This window comes from Homo sapiens, chromosome X (assembly GCF_000001405.40).
Source record: "Homo sapiens chromosome X, GRCh38.p14 Primary Assembly".
Lineage (NCBI taxonomy): Eukaryota > Metazoa > Chordata > Mammalia > Primates > Hominidae > Homo > Homo sapiens.
Window position 1 is genome coordinate 88,570,148 of NC_000023.11, and position 20,365 is coordinate 88,590,512.

At 38.0% G+C, this 20,365-nt stretch overlaps 1 long non-coding RNA gene across 1 annotated transcript in view; it reads right to left on the minus strand.

Moving 5' to 3' along the window:
- LOC107985713 (uncharacterized) overlaps nt 1-20,365 on the minus strand; it is a 119,361-nt gene that overhangs the window by 76,018 nt on the left and 22,978 nt on the right. Inside the window, exon 2 of the long non-coding RNA XR_001755911.2 lies at nt 1,881-2,019. This is a non-coding gene — a long non-coding RNA (uncharacterized LOC107985713). The remainder of the gene's footprint in view (nt 1-1,880; nt 2,020-20,365) is intronic.

Consider the following 20,365-nt stretch of genomic DNA (forward strand, 5'->3'; position numbering starts at 1 on the left):
CTTGATAGGACCCAGAGAACCCATTAAATTGAGAGGCATAATGGGCTCCTAAAGGAATTTTTATTTAAGTTATAAAGGGATAAATAGATCCTCTGTTTAGTGTCGCTATTTCCACAGTGACCGATTAGTCCGAGTTCAAGCCTTCTGGGAACATACAATCCCTACACCAATGCCATAAAGTTCCCTCATTTGCCTTCATTGGCCATAAAGTTGGGAACACCTCTAAGGTTCATGTTTTTGGTGACCACTTCACCACATGGCCATCTCCTTCTGGTGAAATGCCTACTTTACTTCCTAGGGAGGCATTTCTCCTCTTTCTAGTCTAGTTTTAGTCATCACTGAGGTCTAAATGGATGCCAAGGCATCAAGGGTCAATTGTACTGTAAAATACAGAATTTCATATGCAGCCTTTACAACTTTGACACTCATAGGGCCCCAAAGGCCTAGCTGTGAGTTTCATTGCTTATGCCAGTTTATGTTCCTCCAACCCAGTGGGAGTCTCCCTTCCCAGGTAGTTCCTCCATCAGCCAGAACAACTGTACTTCACCTGGCCCTGGACCCAATGGGTCTTATTATACTGTCAGTCCATAAAATTATTCAAGCAACTAAGTCATTTGTTATATGGGTATGTTCATATTGTAAAAATTTATGATTTGTATATTTTTCTGTTTAGATGTTACACTACCATAAAAATTTTAGAAAATGAGTTTAAAAAACTGCAATTTGTGTAACACATACTATTAAGAGAGTAAGAATTATAAATGTAAGCTCTCATACTCTAATTCAAATTATAGATGTGAGCTTTCATATTACCAAGATGTGTATTTTGCATGTAACCATATCTGTCTTTGTCTCTGTCTTTCTCTCTCTCTTTCACACACACACACACACACACACACACACACACACACACCCTCTCTCTAATATATGTCAAAAACATACTCTGGACCATCATTCTCCAACTTTTGTGTGCATAAGAATCACTTTAAAAGTTTGCTAAATCCTGATTATTGGTCCCAATTCCAAGAGTTTCTGATTCAGCAAGTCTGGGGTGGAGCCCACCAATTTACATTTCTAACAATTTCTCATTTGTTGCTAATGCTGCTACTCCGAAGACCACACTTTGAGAATCACTGAAGTAAATATAATTAAATCAGAAAAACAAAGGAAACTGTTATCTTAAGGTTATAAATGTTTAGATGAGCTCAAAATATCTACTTTAATATTCAACAATTTCCATTTCTAGGACTGGAAACTTGAAAAGTGAAGATGCATGGTGTATAAGACAAGTGAGATTTTAAAATTATTAAAGTCATTATAGGTCATTCTGAATGAATAAATTAATCTGAGGGTACAAACAGAACATTATGTTTATGAGAAAAATAACAATGTTTTATAAAGCTATTTACTGGATTTTATAAAATTATACCAGTGATATGTATTGCCTGACCTAATTAATTTTCAAATGCTCCCCAGACGGAAGGAAAACACACATTGAAGGAAAAAAAATCGAAAAGATCAATTGTGATTCAAAATATAATTACATACATGCCTTGTAATAACTGACTGTCTGAAAATGAAAATACATTGAAGTAATAATATGACAACACATACATCAGTTCTATGAAATTATTTAGATAAATTTGCAAACAAGTCTTTTTTAAAACAAATTACCAGTCCATCTTTGGGTATCATGGTACCAATTATTTTACCATATATATAGTATTGTAGAGATAGACATTTAAAAGACTTGAACTGTGTGCCAGTCACCTGAGACTTCATGAACAAATCTTATATAATACTTAAAACTGCTGTGAATTAAGTTGCATGTCCATTTGAAAGAACAGGAAACTGAAGCTAAGTATATTTAATTAACTTACGAAGCATATAAAGATGATAGATGGAGTATGCAAGATTTGGATTCACCTCTGTTTGATTTTAAAGCAGAGTTCTGTCCAATTTAATCAATTTTTTGAGGGTGGCTGGGCTCTAAGCTTCATGCTTATCTTTAGGGAGAATCTAGATAAACATAAAAACACAGATGTCAGATAATTAAAAAATGAACAGAGAAGTAATTACTTCATTGTATTTTGGAAAGGTAAGTTCCACCATGCTCCTAGGGTCTGAGGTCCTTCCCATGCCTTAGACAAGTCTCTCTCTTAATAGTTAACAGTTTTCCCACACCCAGTTACCTCTACTGCATTTAACTGCCCTTGTTCTATAATTCTCAGTGCCAGATGTTACCAATGTTTCTTCTTACCTGAGTTTTCTTTCATCAAACAATACACCGCAAACCAGCTCTAGGTCACTACTCTGATCACATTCACTCTGGCATTGAAACTTGACTGAATTTTATCATTCCATAGCTTCATAATGGTTATAACTACAACTGGCCGGGCGCGGTGGCTCACGCCTGTAATCCCAGCACTTTGGGAGGATGAGGCGGGTGGATCATGAGGTCAGGAAATAGAGACCATCCTGGTTAACACAGTGAAACCCCGTCTCTACTAAAAAATACAAAAGATTAGCCGGGCATAGTGGCAGGCGCCTGTAGTCCCAGCTACTCCGGAGGCTGAGGCAGGAGAATGGCGTGAACCCGGGAGGCGGAGCTTGCAGTGAGCTGAGATCTCGCTACTGCACTCCAGCCATGGCGACAGATCAAGACTCCGTCTCAAAAAAAAAAAAAAAAAAAAAAAAACAACTGTACTATTACTATTGTTAACATTTAGTGAGCCTTCATTTTGTATCATCCATAAATGCTAAACATATACTAAACATTTTGCATTTATTATTTGGTTCAATTTACACAACAATCCTATAGCGTAGGTATTAGGATTTTCCTCATTTTGGAAGAAACATAACTGAGGCACATAAAACAAAGCAACTTGCCCAAGGACGCACAGTGAATCTTTTGATGACGATGGTGATGGTGATAATGACAATTATATGAATAACTTTTGTAATTTATTGAGCATTTTACATGTGTCCAAAAATGTCCTAAACATTACATATTTTCTCAATGGATTATTTTATCCATTTAAGGTAAAAACTATTTGCTTTGTTTTGTCTGCTTGTTTTGCTTCCTTTTTCTGATTTGGGGGTACATGTGCAGGTTAGTTAAATAGATCTATTGCAAGATGGTGATGTATGGGCTTTTATTGAATCTGTCACCCAAATAGTGAATATAGTACCCAATAGGTAGTTTCCAACCCTTGACTCCAGCCCTCCTTCCACAGCTTTGGTGTCTCCAGTGTCTGTTGTTTTTATCTTTATGTCTATACATAAAGATGCTTAGTTCATACATATCAATGTTTACCTCTCACTCATAAATGAAAACAATGCAGCATTGATTGTTCTGTTTCTGTGTTAATTCACTTATGATAATGGCCTCCAGCTACATCCATGTTGCTCTGATGGATATAATTTTGCTATTTTTTATGGCTGCATAGTATTCCATGATGTATATGTACCACATTTTCTTTATCCAAACCACCACTGATGGGCACCTAGGCTGATTCCATGCCTTTGCTATTGTGAATACTGCTGCACTAAAAATACAAGTGTAGGTGTCTTTTTGGTAGAGCACTTAATTTTCCTTTGCTTGTATACCAAGTAATGAAATTGCAGGGTCAAATGGTACTTCTATTTTTACTTTTTGAGAATCACTCAAACTGCATTTCACAGGGGTTGAACTAATTTACATTCTCACCAACAGTATATAAGCATTCCCTTTTCTCTGCAATTTTGCCAACATCTGTTATTTTTTGACTTTTTAATAATGGCCACTCTGATTAGTGTGAGATGGTATTTCATTGTGGTTTTGATTCACATTTCTCTCTTGATTAATGATGTTAAGCATTTTAAAAATCTGTTTGCTGGCCACTTGTATATCTTCTTTTGAGGAATGTCTGTTCCTGACCATTGCTCACTTTGAATTGGGTTATTTTTTTTCTGTTGATTTAAGTTTCTTATAGATTCTGGATATTTGTCCCTTGACAAATGCACAGTTTGCAAATATGTGTATGTGCACCCAATATCAGAACACCAAGACTAATAAAGGAATTACTACTAGAGCTAAGCAAAGAGATACAGCCACACAAAAATAATGAGGGACTTCAACACCCCACTGACAGCCTTAGACAGATCATCAAGGCAGAACACTAATAAAGAAATTCCAGATTTAGATGGACACCTGACAAATTGGGCTTAATAGATACCTACAGAATACTGCACTCAACAGCTAAAGAATACACATTATCATCTGCAGACAGAACATACTCAAAGATTGGCCACATGGTTGGCCATAAAAGTAGTCTCAATAAATTAAAAAAATCAAAGTCATACCAAGCATCATCTCAGAGTACTGGGAAATAAAATTATAAAGCAATACCAATTGGAACTCTTAAAACAACACAAAAAATGAAAAGAAAACAACACAGAAAATGAAAAGTAAACAACTTGCTCCTGAGCGACTTTGGGGTAAACAACAAAATTAAAGCAGAAATTTTAAAAAAGCTTGAAAGAAATGAAAACAAAGAGACAACATAAGTCAGCACATCCAAAAGATAATTCACCATGATCAACTGGGATATCTTCCTGGGATGCAGGCATTGTACAATGTACACAAATCAATAAATGTGATTCACACATTTATTCAATAGAATCAAAAACAAAAAATATAAAATTATCTCAGTTGATGCAACAAAATTCAATAAAACCCAACAGCCTTTGATGATAAAAACCCTCTACAAACTAAGCAATGAAGGGACATATTTCAAAGTAGTAAGAGCCACCTATGATAAACCCCAAACCAACATCATACTGAACAGGAAAAAGGTGGAAGTATTCCCTCTATAACTGTGGACAAGACAAGAGTTTCCACGCTCTCTACTATTTAACAAAGTATTGGGAGTTCTAGCCAGAGCAATAAGGCAACGGGAAGAAAGAAAAGGCATTTAAATAGGAAACCAGGAGGTCAATTTATCTCTCTCTTCACTGATGATATAACTCTATACCTAGAAACACATAAAGATTCTACCAAAAGACTCCTAGACCTAATAACTTCAGTAAAGTTTTATGGTACAAAATCAACATGCAAAACCAGCAGAATTTCTATACACTGATAGCATTTCAGTTGAGAACCAAATCAATAATGCAATTCCATTTACAATAGCCACAACAATTAAAACACCTAGGAGACCACTTATAATCAAGGAAGTGAAAAATAGCTACAAGGATAACTGCAAAACACTGCTGAAAGAAATCATAGAATGACACAAACAAATGGAAAAATAGTCCATGCTCATGGATTTGAAGAATCAATATTGTTAATATGTTCATACTGCCTAATTCAATTTGCCTCTCCCGGTCTTTTAGGGGAAGCACTTAGGACATTTATATTCAAGATTAATACTGATATATGAGGTTTTGTTCCCATCATAATGTTGTCACAGAGTTGCATTTTAATGTCAACTGTGTAGTTGCTTCATAGAGTGCCTGGGCTATGTACTTACATGTGATTTTGTGGCAACAGGTATTGTTTCTGTGTTCAGAACTCCCATAAGAATCAAGTCAATAGATGAGGATCCAGTTTCATTCTCCTACACGTGGCTTGCCAATTATCCCAGCACCATTTGTTGAATAAGGTGTCGTTTCCCCCACTTTATGTTTTCGTTTGCTGTGTTGAAGATTAGTTGGTTGTAAGTACTTAGGTTTATTTCTGGGTTCTCTATTCTGTTCTATAGGTCTATGTGCCTATTTTCATATCAGTACCATGCTGTTTTGGTGACTATGGCATTATAGTATAGTTTGAAGTCAGGTAATATGTTGCCTCCAGATTTGTTCTTTTTGCTTAGTCTCGCTTTGGCTATGTGGGCTCTTGCGGGCTCTTTTTTAGTTCCATATGAATTTTAGGATTGTTTTTGCTAGTTCTGTGAAGAATGATGATGGTATTTTGATGGGAATTGGATTGAATGTGTAGATTGCTTTTGGCAATATGGTCATTTTCACAATATTGATTCTACCCATCCATGAGCATGGGACATATTTCCATTTGTTTGTGTCATCTATGATTTCGTTCAGCAGTGTTTTGTAGTTTTCCTTGTAGAAGTTTTCATCTCCCTGGTTAGGTATATTCCTAAGTATTTTCTTTTTTATTTTTTGCAGTTATTGTAAAAGGGGTTGAGTTCTTGATTTGATTCTCAGCTTGGTTGCCGTTGGTATATAGCAGAACTACTGATTTGTGTAAATTTTATATCCTGAAACTTTGCTGAATTCATTTATCAGTTCTAGGAGCTTTTTGGATGAGTCTTTAGGGTTTTCTAGGTATACGATCATATATCATCAGCAAACAGCGACAGTTTGACCTCCTCTTTACTGATTTGGATGTCTTTATTTCTCTTCTCTGATTGCTCTTGCTAGGACTTCCAGTATTATGGTGAGTAGAAGTCGTGAGAGCTGGCATCCTTGTCTTGTTTCAGTTCTCTGAGAGAGAACTTTTCCCTGTTCAGTATTACATTGGCTGAGGGTTTGTAATAGATGGCTTTTATTACACTGAGGCCTTGTATGCCGATTTTGCTGAGGGTTTTAATCATAAAGGGATGCTGGATTTTGTCCAATGCTTTTTCTGGATCTTTTGGGATGATCATGTGATTTTTGTTTCTAATTCTGTTTATGTCGGGTATCACATTTATTGACTTGCATATGTTAAACCATCCCTGAATCCCTGGTATGAAACCCACTTGATCATGGTGAATTATTTTTTTGATATCTGTTGAATTCGGTTAGCTAGTATTTTGCTAAGGATTTTTGCATCTATGTTGATCACGGATATTGGTCTGTAGTTTTTTTGTTGTTGCTGCTGTGTCCTTTACTGGTTTTGGTATTAGGATGATACTGGCTTCATAGAATGATTTAGGGAAGATTCCCTCTTTCTCTATCTTGTGGAATAGTGTCAATAGGATTGGTACCAATACTTCTTTGAGTGTCTGATAGAAATCAGCTGAGAATCTGGCTAGCCCTGGACTTTTTTTGTTGGTAATTTTTTTATTACCATTTCAATCTCGCTGCTTGTTATTAGTCTGTTCAGGATTTCTAACTCTTTCTGATTTAAGCTAGAAGGGTATATATCCAGGAATTTATCCATCTCCTCTAGGTTTTCTATTTTATGTGCATAAAGGTGTCCATAGTAGCCTTGAATGAACTTTTGTATTTCTGTGTTGCTAGTTGTAATATCTCCCATTTCGTTTTTAATTGAGCTTATTTGGATCTTCTATCTTCTTTTCTTGGTTCAAAGAACTAGCTTTTTGTTTCCTTTATCTTTTGCATTGTTTAGTTTGTTTACTTCAAATTCATTTAGTTCTGGTCTGATCTTTGTTATTTCTTTTCTTCTCCTGGGTTTAGGTTTGGAAAGCAAATGCAACAAAAACAAAGATAAATAGGTGGGACGTAATTAAACTAAGGCGTTTCTGCACAGCAAGAGGAACAGTCAGTAGAGTAAACAGGCAATGTACAGAGTGGGAGAAAATCTTTACAGTCTATACATCTGACAAAGGACTAATATCCAGAATCTACAAGGAATTCAAACAAATTAGCAAGAAAAAACAAACAATCCCATCAAAAAATGGACTAAGGACATAAATAGACAATTCTCAAATAGACAGTTCTCAAAAGAAGATATACAAATGGCCAACAAACAGACGAAAAAAAATGCTCAAGATCAGTAATGATCAGGGAAATGCAAATCAAAATCACAATGTGATACCACCTTACACCTGCAAGAATTTCCATGATCAAAAAGTCAAAAAATAATAATAGATGTTAGCGAGAATGCAGTGAAAACGGAACATGTCTATACTGCTGGTGGGAATGTAAACCAGTGCAGCCACTATGAAAAACAGTGTGGAGATTCCTTAAAGAACTAGAAGTCCTTTTGGTCCAGTAATCCCACTACTGGTATCTACCCAGAGGAAAAGAAGTCATTATATGAAAAAGATACCTGTATACACATGTTTATAGCAACACAATCCACAATTGCAAAAACATGGAACCCGTCCAAATGTCCATCAATCAATGAGTGGATAAAGAAATTGTGGTATGTGTGTGTGTGTATTATATATGTGATATATATATGTGTATATATGTGATATGTATATGTGTATATATGTATATATATATGATGGAATACTACTCAACCATAAAAAGAAACAAATTATTGGCTTTCACAGCAACCTGGATGGAACTGGAGACTATTATTCTAAGTGAAGTAACTCAGGAATGGAAACACAAATGTCATATGTTTTCACTCATAAATGGGAGCTAAGCTATGAGGATGCAAAGGCATAACAATGATATAATGGACTTTGGGGACCCGGGGGAAAGGGCGGGAGGGAGATGAGGGATAAAAGACTATAAATTGCATTCGGTATGTAATGCTTGGGTGATGGGTGTACCAAAATCTCACAAATCACCATTAAAGAACTTACTCATGTAACCAAATACCACTGGTTCCTCAAAACACCTGTGGAAATAAAACAATTTTTTTAAAGTAATCAAGTCAATAAATGTCATTCACCTACATAAACATAATTAAAAACAAAAAATAAATGATTATCTCATTAAGTGCAGAGAAAGTTTTCAATAAAATTCATCATTCCTTCATGATAAACACCCTAAACATACAAGGTATTGAGGAAACATATCTTAAAATAATAAGAGCCATCTGTGACAAACCCAGAGCCTGTATTATACTGAATAGACAAAAGCTAGAAGGATTCCCCTTGAGAAGCAGAACAAGACAAGGATGATGACGCTCATCACTCCTATCCAACATAGTACTGGAAGTCCTAGTCAGAGAGCGGGCCAGAGAAAGAAATAAATGGCATTCAAATAGGAATAAAAGAAGCCAAATTATGTATCTTCACTGATGATATGATCCTATACTTAGAAAACCTTGAAGACTGACAAAATCCCCTAGACCTGATAAACAACTACAGTGAATTTCAGGGTAGAATTCCAATGTAAAATATCAGTAGCATTTCTATACACCAATAATGTTCAAGCTGAGGAACAAATAACACAATCCCATTTAAAATAGCCACAAAAAGAATAAAATAGTAAGAATACATCTAACAAAGGAAATGAAGGATCTCTAAATGGAGAACTACAAAACACTGCTGAAAGAAATCAGAAATGACACAAACAAATGAAAAATCCTTCCATAATCACAAACTGGAATAATTAATATCATTAAAATGGTCATTCTGCCTAAAGCAATCTAAAGACTTAATACTACTCCTGTCAAACTACCAACATCATTTTTCACAGAAGTAGATAAAAATATTCTAAAATTCATATAGGACCAACGAAGAGCCTGAATAGCCAAATCAATCCTAAGCAAAAAGAACCAAGCTGCAGACATCACGTTAACCAGCTTCAAACTCTATTATAAGGCTATGGCAACCAAAACAGAATTGCACTGGTACAAAAACAGACATAGAGACCAATGGAACAGAATATAAAACCCAGAAATAAATGAAGCTGCACACATACATACATCTCATCTTTGACAAAGTTGACACAAACAAGCAATGAGGAAAGGACTCGCTGTTTAATAAATGGTGCTGGGATAACTGGCTAGCTATATGGAGAAGAATACAACTGGCCCCCTACCTTTCTCCATATACAAAATTAACTCCAGATGGATAAAATATTTAAATGAAAGACTTCAAAGTATAAAAGTCCTAGAAGAAACCTTGAAAATATCATTCTGAATATTGGCTTTGGCAAATAATTTTGACTAAGTCTTCAAAACCAAACACAACAAAAATAAAAATTGACCAGTGTGATCTAATTAAACTACAGATATTTTGCACAGCCAAACAAACTATCAACAGAGTAAACAGACAACACACAGACTTAGAGAAATTATTTGCAAACCACACATCTGACAAAAGTCTAATATCCAGGAATCCCTATGGAACTTAACTCAAAAATAAGAAAAAATATCTCCATTGAAAAGTAGGCCAAAGGCATGAACAGACATATCCCAAAAGAAGGCATACAAGTGGCCAACAAACATAAAAAATGCTCAACATCACTAGTCATCAGAGAAATTCAAATCAAAACAAAAATGAGATACTATCTGTCACCAGCCAGAATGGCTATTATTAAAATTATAGAAAATAACAGATGCTGGTGAGGCTGCAGATAAAAGAGAACATTTATGGACTGTTAGTAGGAATGTAAATTTTGGAAAGCAGTTTGAAAAGCACTTTGGAAAGCAGTTTGGAAATTTCTCAAAAAAAGTAAAAGCACAATTACCATTAAACTCAGTAATTTCATTATTCAGTATATGCCCAAAAGAAATTAAATTGTTCTACCAAAGAGACACCTGCACTTGTATGCTCATTGCAGCAGTATTCACAATAGGAAAGATACAGAATCAACTTAGGTGCCCATCAATGGTGGTTTGCATAAAGAAAATGTACTACATATTCATCATGGAATACTATGCAGCCATAAAAAAGAATTGAAAAATGCTATTTGCAGAAACATGCATGCATTTGGAGGCCATCATTCTGATAAAAAATAATGCCAACACATAAAATCAAATACTGCATTTTTTACTTATGAATGGGAGCTAAACATTGTGTATGTATGGAAAGAAAAATGGAAAGAAAAAACACTGAGGACTACTAGAAGAGGGAGAGGGTAAGGGGGCTGGGGCTGAAAAACTACCTATTGGGTACTATGCTCACTACCTGTGTGACAGAATCATTTGTAGCCCAAATCTCAATCTCACATAATATACTCACGTAAAAAACCTGCACCTGTATCCTCTGAATATAAAATAAAAGTTTAAATTATATTTAAAAAATTACTCCCTAAGCGTCTCTCGTAGGACTGATCTGGTGTTGATGAATTCCATTAGCAGTTGTTTTTCTGAGAGTCTTTTTTTCTCCTTTGTTTATGAAGCTCATTTTGTCAGGATACGAAATTATTGGCTGCCATTCCTTTTCTTTAAGAAGGCTAAAAGTAGGCCCACAATTCTTCTGATTTCTAAGGTTTCTGCACAGAAGTCCCCTGTTACTCTAATGGGAGTTATTTTATAGATAATTTGGCCCTTTTCTCTAGCTGCTTTCACATTCTTCCTTTAGCGTCAACCGTGGATAGTCTGATGACTGTGCTTTGGGCATCATCTTCTTGTATAGCATCTCACAGGATTTCTCTGAATTTCTTGTATCTGGATGTTGGCCTCTCTAGCAAGATTGGGAAAATTTCCTGGAATTATGTCATCAACTATGTTTTTCACTTTTCTTAATTTCTTTTCTCTCTCAGGAATGCCAATACGTCATAGGTTTGGTCACTTTACATAATCCAGTATTTCTCAAAGTCTTTGTTCAGATTTTTATTATTTTTATCTATGTTGAAGAGCTAATTTTTGAGCTGTTAAATTCTTTCTTCTACTTGGTGTTGTCTATTTTCAAGTATTCAAATTGTGTTTCGAAATTTCTGTAGTTAATTTCTCAATTCCAGAAATTCTGTTGTGTTCTTTTTTAATGTGGCTATACTATCTTTCATATCTTGGATTGCTTTTCTGCCTTCTTTCTATTGGATTTCAACCTTCTCTTGGATATCATTGGGTTTCCTTGCCATCCATATTCTTAATTGTATATTTGTCATTTGAGATATGTCATCCTGTCATAGAGTTAACGTGATAATTTGGAGGTAACAAAACATTGTGGCTTTTTGTATTGCCATAGCTATGGTGCTGATTCCTTTTCATCTGAGGGAACTGATGTTTCTTTTTTTGAATTTGCTGTTTAGATGGAGCTTTTTAATTTTTTTATCAATTTTTCCATTGAGGTTGTGACTGTGGCGAATGTCTTGTATAACTGATTGTCTTCATTTCTGGTTGCTTTCACAGGGCAAACCATATGTTTGTTGGTTGCAGACAGGTTCATGCAGTGGCTTTCTCAGATGCTGTTTGTTGTAGCAATGCATTTTTCTATTATGGTGTAATTCAGGCTGCAGTCCAGTATATGGTGCTTAAGAGTAAAAGCTGGCAGGTAGGCTATTACACGGCATGTACTCATCCTCTGCATGAATGAAGACACCAGAGACTCACAAAACATGCCCTCTCCCAATATGAGCTTGCCTTCATTGGGGATGAGGCAACCAGAGAAGCATGAAAAGTAGCCTCTTTCTGTGCATGCTCGTAGGGCTCCAATGGGAAGAGACATTGCAGCATTTGCAACAGTTCCCTAAGGAGCAGGGGTGGGTGAAAAATGACCCCATCTCCACAACCATCCCTGGGCTATGGTGTGTCCTCCTTTAGAAATTGAAGCCTTTGGCCAGGCGCAGTGGCTTACCCCTGTAATCCCAGCACTTTGGGAGGCCGAGGTGGGCGGATCACAAGGTCAGGAGATCGAGACCATCCTGGCTAACACGGTGAAACCCCGTCTCTACTAAAAATACAAAAAATTAGCCGGGCGTGGTGGCAGGCGCCTGTAGTCCCAGCTACTCGGGAGGCTGAGGCAGAAGAATGGTGTGGACCCGGGAGGCGGAGCTTGCAGTGAGCCGAGATCATGCCACTGCACTCCAGCCTGGGCGACAGAGCAAGATTCTGTCTCAAAAAAAAAAAAAAAAAAAAAAGAAAAAGAAAAAGAAATTGAAGTCTTTGACCCGTGGTGGGCTTTGTTGAGCTGTTCGCTCCTCCTCCCCATGAACACTCCAGGCCAAGAGTTATATCTCCAGGGAACTCACAACTATCTGGGGAACCTTGAGTGCCCTGTTTGCCAAAGTCAGAGTGGGGTGTGTCTGCACGTGGTTTGGTAGGGCAGAAGCCGAAGGATGGAAGATCCTGAGCAGGGCAGTGGCACTAAGTGTGCACTGTGGTATGGCACCTACTGTCTCAACCTGGGTCTGAGGGGGAAGTGTGGCATGTCTGTGCAAGGTGGCCCCCTGATTCTTTGTTCCCTGAAAGATCTCTGTTCACAACTGATAGTGTTGCCTGGGTCATGGGGGAAGAGGGGGTCCTCAACAGCTCAGCAGTCAGATTGACAGAGGGATGAGAGGAGGAGAGAAGAACTCCCATCTACCCTTTCTGCTGAGCTCTGAGCTCCTTGGGGTTTGATCCCAGCCAGAATTTTACTGCTTTTCCTTTCTGTGCGCCCAAGCTTCTTCAGATGGGTGCTCCAACAGATCCTGGCTCTCCTCTACTCATTTTCCACTCTAAACTTGTCCATTCACTGTTAATATTTATCTTTCTTCAAGGGAGAACTGGCATGTAATGTCCCTAGTCAGCCATCGTGAAGACTAAAAACTCGGTTTTATTTTTGCTTGTTTTATTATTTAAACAGTTAAGGTTCTGAGAGGTTAAATAATTAACTGAATGTGACAGAGCAAGGATTTCAGTTTAAGTTCTCTAGTTTCAAATCATTGAATTTTCCAATATTCTAAGCTTCCTCTCTAAGCAGAAGTAATTTGTAGACATGTTAATCATAGCACAGTATGTAGGCGTGCAGGTGATAGGAAAAAAAGCAAACATTATTTCTTGCAGAACACCAGTGTGACATTTGCTAGAGATGCAAAACTGAATAAAATAAAACATAAATCTTTGAAACATATTACCTTTTTCCAAACTGCTCTGTATCCCACAATGATGACAGCCATTATAATTGTCCTAAGAACTACTGTGTGGTGGGTTGGGTCAAGATGGCAGACTAAAAGCAGTTCATGTGTGCCACTCTCATAGAAAAAATATAATACTTAAGCTACTGAACACTGACCCTATATGCCAGTCATCTAAGAATTCAAATCAGGATCAATAAAGGCAGCAAGGGGATACAGGGAGCAGAAAGGAGTAAAGCTGGGCACAGCCTATTTGGAATCAATGTGGAGCTAGGAGAAACTCCCCAACATGGGAAAGGGTGAGTAAGTGAGAGCCCCGCTGGCAGATTCACATTCTCCACAGGGACCTGTGCAAGACTGAGAACTGGAGAATCCCCCCGCCTTCCCAAACCCCTCCACACTTACAAACTGTACAGAGAGCCACCCAGGTGTTTTGCAGAGGCAACTCTCAAGTCCTTGGAGACCTCTACAAGTCTTGCACCATGAAATAGACCTGCACCAGTGCCATAGCCCCAATAGACACAACAGTCATGACACCTGGGGACAGTAAGATTACTCCACCCTCCCTTGCCAAACAAGGCTCCGCACTAGCTTCCAGCCCAGTGGTCCCACTTCTGCCTAAACTCAGCCAGTAGCTCCACCCTGTTGTTCTGGGAAACAGACAAAAGGGCAGGTGACCTCACTCACTCAGCTGCTGTTAGCCAGGAGGGTAACACCTGCTACAGCTTTCAGCCCAGTAGTCCCGCTACTGTTTCAACTCAGCCAGTGAGTACATCCTCCTGCTATCCTGGGAAACACCCAGATGTCACCGTGAGCAACTCCACCCACCCCTGCCTCTTGTAGCCAGGTGGGCAATACTTGATAGAGCTTCTAGCCCAGCAGTCCTACTTCTGCCTGAATTCTGTAAGGGTCACAGCACCCTGTTATCCTTGGAAACACCTGGATGGCTGGGTGAGAAACTATACACTCACGTCTGCCTCTCATAACCAGACGGGCCACATCCACTAGAGCTTCCAGTCCAGTGGTACTGTTTCTGCCTGAACTCTGTGGGCAGGCACAACCCCATGTTCCCCTGGGAAGCATGTGGACAGATTAGGTGACCGCAGCCACACCCAAATCTCCTAGCCAAGTGGGACTTGCTGTCTTGTGTGGTGCTTAAGCAAGGATGGGCCCACACTCTTGGATCACTGAGAGACTTGAGATCCCCAGGTTCACAGGCCAGTGGTAGAGAGAGGAGTGCCAGCCTCCACAGGGCTGACAACTGCAAGGATACGGCTGGTCTGCAAACAGTTGTCCCTGCCTGATGGAGCCTCGTGGAACAGAACACCCCAAAAAAGAAATGTGGGCCCAAAGCCACTAATCAGAGGGGGCTCCTCCAAGGCTAAGAAGTGGTCTAGGTGAGGGAGTCATCTCTTTCCCCCTCTACCACAGAGCACTACTGCCAACTGCACCAAAACCCAAAAAAGCTGTGCAGTAGAGTGAGAGCTGATCTGCTGGGTAATATTCATAAGCCCCTCCTACAGGATCACAGCCCAAAATACAACACCAAAATATTTTTCTAGCATACAGCAACTATGAAAATTAAGGCAAAGGCTCCCACCAGTGGCCTGTCCCAGCCAACACATGTGTACCCCGTTGTGCTGCCATGGCTGCTGGCACACACAAGTGAGCAAAAATCCCACTGCCACTACCCTTACGAAGTGCCTTGGCTGACATGTGTCATTAGGGTGTTGAGGCCAAAGAACCAGGAACACCTTGGCCCCTCCAGAACAATAGGCTTCTAACATCACAGGACCAAAGAGCAAAGCCAAGACTTGGCACCATCCCTCCAGAGTTTGAGCATGCAGCCCAAGAGTGATGATCTCAGGCTTGGCCCTGTGAGATCTTTTGAGAATGAAAGCCAGTTCACAGAACACACCTTATTTCACAATCAAAACCCCAAGAACAGCAAAGAAAATAAAAGCAAAAAAGAAAAAAAATCATCCAAAGGACCGTGCCTTCAAAGATAAAAGAAATATCAGCCCACAAAGATGAGAAAGAATCAGCACAAGAACTTGGGCAACTCAAAAAGCCAGAGTGTCTTCTAACCTTCAAATGACTGCACTACTTCCCCAGTGATGTTTCTTAAACCAGGCTGAATTAGTCGAAATGACAAGCATATAATTCATTGAAAGAGAGTGCGAGAAAGCACACAAGTTGCAAAACATATTTGAAGATATTGTCTACCAAAATTTTCCCTATCTCGCCACAGAGGCCAACATTCTAATTCAGAAAATGCAGAGAACCTCTTTGAGATACTACACAGGATGACCATTCCCAAGACACACAGTCATCAGATTGTAGAAGGTCAAAATGAAAGAAAAATACTAATGGCAGCTAGGAAGAAGGGGCAGATCATCTACAAAGGGAACCCTATTAGGCTAATAGTGAACTTTTCAAGACAGAAGAGATTGAGAGCCAATACTCAGTACTCTTAAAGAAAACAATCTCCCATCAAGAATTCCATATCCTATAAAACTAATATTCATAAATGAAGAAGAAATAAGGTACCATTCAGACAAGCAAATGTTAAGGGAATTCATTATCACCAGACCTGCCTAACAAAAAGTCCTTAAGGTAGTACTAAATATGGAAACAAAAGACCATTACTGCCCACAACAAAAATGAACTTAAATGCATAGACAATTGACCCTCTGAAAGCAAGCACACAATCAACTATGCATAACAACCAGCTAACAACATGATGACATCATCAAATCTGCCACATGTCAAGATTAACCTTGAGTGTAAACAAGCTAAAATGTCCCAATTAAAAGGCACAGAATGGCAAGTTGAATAAAGAAACAATATCCATGCTGCCTTCAAGAGACCAATCTCACATGCAGTGACACTCTTGGGCTCATAGAAAAGGGATGAAGAAAAATCTACCATGCAATTGGAAAACAACAACAACAAAGCAGGGACCATTATTCTAATTTCAGACCTAACAGACTTTAAACCAACAATAATCACAAAAGAAACGAGTAATACTGCATAATGGTAAAGGGCTCAATTAAACAAGAAGACCTAACTATCCTAAATATATATGCTCCAAATGCAGGAGCATCAAGATTGATAAAACAAGTTCTTAGAGACCTTTGAAGAGATTTAGATAACCACACAATAATAGCCAGGGACATCAACACCTTACTGACCATATTAGATTATTGAGGCAGAAAATTAGCAAAGATATTCAAGACCGAAATTTGACACTTGAGCTAGTGGACCTAACAAACACCTACAAAACTCTCTACCCCAAAAATCAGAATATATGTTCTTCTCATCTTCACATAACACATACTCTAAAACCAACCACACAATCAGCTGTAAAACAATTCTCAATAAATTATAAAAAGCCAAAACATACCAACCATGCTCATGAGGCACAGCGTAATAAAAATAGAAACAAATACTAAAAAGATCACTGAAAACCATACCATTACAAGGAAATTAAACAACCTACTCCAAAATGACTTCTTCATGCTTCAATCTTAGAAGATCGTATGCTTCCAGGAACTTATCTATTTCTTTTAGGTTTTCTGGTTTGTTTGCATAGAGGTGTTCATAATAGCCTCTGCAGTTTTTTGTAGTTCTGTTGGGTCAGTGGTAATATCCTATGAAGAAAGGGAAATCCTGAACAGAGACCAATAATGAGTTCAGAAATCAAATCAGTAATAAAAAGGCTGCCAACAAAACTCCCAGGAGCAGATACATTCACGGCCAAATTTTACCAGATGCATAAAGAAGAGCTGGTACCATTCATTCTAAAACTATTCCAAGAAATTGAGAAGAAGGGGCTCCTTCCTAACTTATTCTATGTGACCAGCATCATTCTGATACCAACACCTGGCAGAAACACAAACACAAAACTTCAGGCCAAAATCCTTGATGACCATAGATGCTAAAATCCCCAAGAAAATACTATTAAACTGAATCCAGCATATCAAAGAGCTAATTCACCATGGTCATGTCAGATTTATCACTGGAATGCAAGGTTGGTTCAACATATGCAAATTAACAAATTTGATTCCTCAAATAAAGAGAACTAAAACTAAAAACCACAAGATGATCTGAATAAATGCAGAAAAGGATATCAACAAAATTCAACATTGCTTCATGTTAAAAACTCTCAACAAATGAGGCATTTAATGTATCTCAAAATAATAAGAATCATCTATAAAAAATACACAGTAGACATCATACTGAATGGGCAAAAGCTAGAATTTTTCTTGAAAATAGGAACATGACAAGGATGCATATTCTCACCACTCGTATTCAACATAGTACTGAAGGCCTTTGCCAGAGCAGTCAGGCAAAAGAAAGAAATAAAAGGCATCCAAACAGGAAGAGAGGAAGTAAAACTATCACTATTGGCAGACTATATGATTCTATACCTAGAAAACCCCAAAATCTCCCACCAAAATCTTCTTGATCTGATAGACAACTTCAGCAGAGTTCCAAGATACAGAAACTAACATACTTGGGCCAGGTGCTGTGGCTCATGCCTGTAGTCCCAGCACTTTGGGAGGCTAAGGTGGGTGGATCACTTGAGGCCAGGAGTTTGAGACCACCCTGGCCAACATGATGAAACCCTGTTCCTACTAAAAATACAAAAATTAGCCAGGTGTGGTGGTAGGTGCCTGTAATCCCAGGTACTTTGGAGGCTGAGGCAGGAGAATCGCTTGAACCCGAGAGGTGGAAGTTGCAGTGAGCCAAAATTGTGCCACTGCACTCCAGCCTGGGCGACAGAGTGAGACTCTGTTTCAAAAAAAAAAATATATATATACAAAAATGAGTAGCATATATATACAACAATAATGTCCAAGCTGAGTGCCAAATCAAGGATGCAGTTCTATTCACAATAGCCATACACACACAAATAAAACACCTAGAAATACAGTTAACAACAGAGGTGGAAGATCTCTACAACAATTATAAAACACAGCACAAAGAAATCAGACATGACATAAACAAATGGAAAAACATTCCATGCTCATGGATAGGAAGAATAAATATTGTTAAAATGGACATACTGCCCAAAGCAATTTATAAATTAAATGTGATTCCTATCAAACTACTAATGACATTCTTCACAAAATTAGTACAAACTTTTCTAAAATTCATTTGAAATAAAAATTGCCAATATATCAAAAAAAAAAATCTTGAGCAAAAAGAGCAAAGCTGAAGGCATCACATTATTTAACTTCAAAATATACTATGAGGCTACAGTAACCCAAAGAGCATGGTACTAGTACAAAAACAGACACACAGACCAATTTAACAGACTAGAGATCCTAGAAATAAAACCGCACACTTAAAACTATCTGATTCCCCACAAAGTTGACCAAAATAAGCAATTGGGGAAATACTCTCTATTTGATAAATGTTGCTGAGGTAACTGGCTAGCAATATGCAGAAGATTGAAACAGGGACCTTTCTTTCACCATATACAAAAATCAATTCACGATGGATTAAAGACTTAAATATAAAACATAAAACTATAAAAATCTTTGATAAAAACTTAGGAAATACCATTCTGGTTATAGACCTTGGCAAAGACTTTATGATGAAGATGCCAAAATCAACTGAAACAAAATAAAAATTGACAAATGGAACCTAATTAAACTACAGTGCTTCTGCACAGCAAAACAAACACAGCAAAACAAAGAAAGAAACAAAAAACTATCAATGGAGTAAACAGAAAACACAAAATCAGAGAAAATATTTGCAAACTATGCTTCTGACAAAGGTCTAATATGCAGACTCTAGAAGAAACTTAAATCAACAAGCAAAAAACAACTCTGTGAAAAAGTGGGCAAAAGACATGAACAGACACTGTTCTCCTTTTTTTGGTGTTGTTTTTTTGAAACAGAGTCTCACTCTGTCACCCAGGCTGGAATGCAGTGGTGTGATCTTGGTTCACTGCAAGCTCCACCTCCCGGGTTCACACCATTCTCCTGCATCAGCCTCCTGAGTAGCTGGGACTACAGGTGCCCGCCACCATGCCTGGCTAATTTTTGTATTTTTAGTAGAGATGGGGTTTCACCATGTTAGCCAGGATGGTCTCCATCTCCTCACCTCGTGATCCTCCCACTTTGGCCTCCCAAAGTGATGGGATTACAGGCGTGGTCCACGCCTGGCACAAACAGACACTTTTCAAAAGAAGACATACAGGCGGCCAATAAGCATATAAAAAAATGCTCAGTATCACTAATTATTAGAGAAATACAAATCAAAATAACAATGAGATATAATCTCACACCAGCCAGAAAGGCTATTACAAATTTAAAAAATAACAGATGCTGACAAAGTGACAGAGAGAAGGGAATGCTTGTACAGTGCTGGTGGAAATGTGACTTAGCTCAGCCACTGTAGAAAGCAGTTTAGCAATTTCTCAAAGAACTAAAACACAACTTATTTAACACAGCAATCCCATTATTGGGTATATACTCAAAGGAATATAAATTGTTGTACCATAAAGACATCTGCCTGTGTATTTTAATTGCAGCACTATTCAAAATAGCAAAGACATGGAATCAGTCAAGATGCTCATCAATGGTATACTGTATAAAGAAAATGTGGTACATATACATGAGGGAATAATATAAAGCCATAAAAATACAAGATCATGTCCTTTGCAGAAACATGGATGGAGATGGAGCCCATTATCTTAAACAAACTAATGCAGAAACAG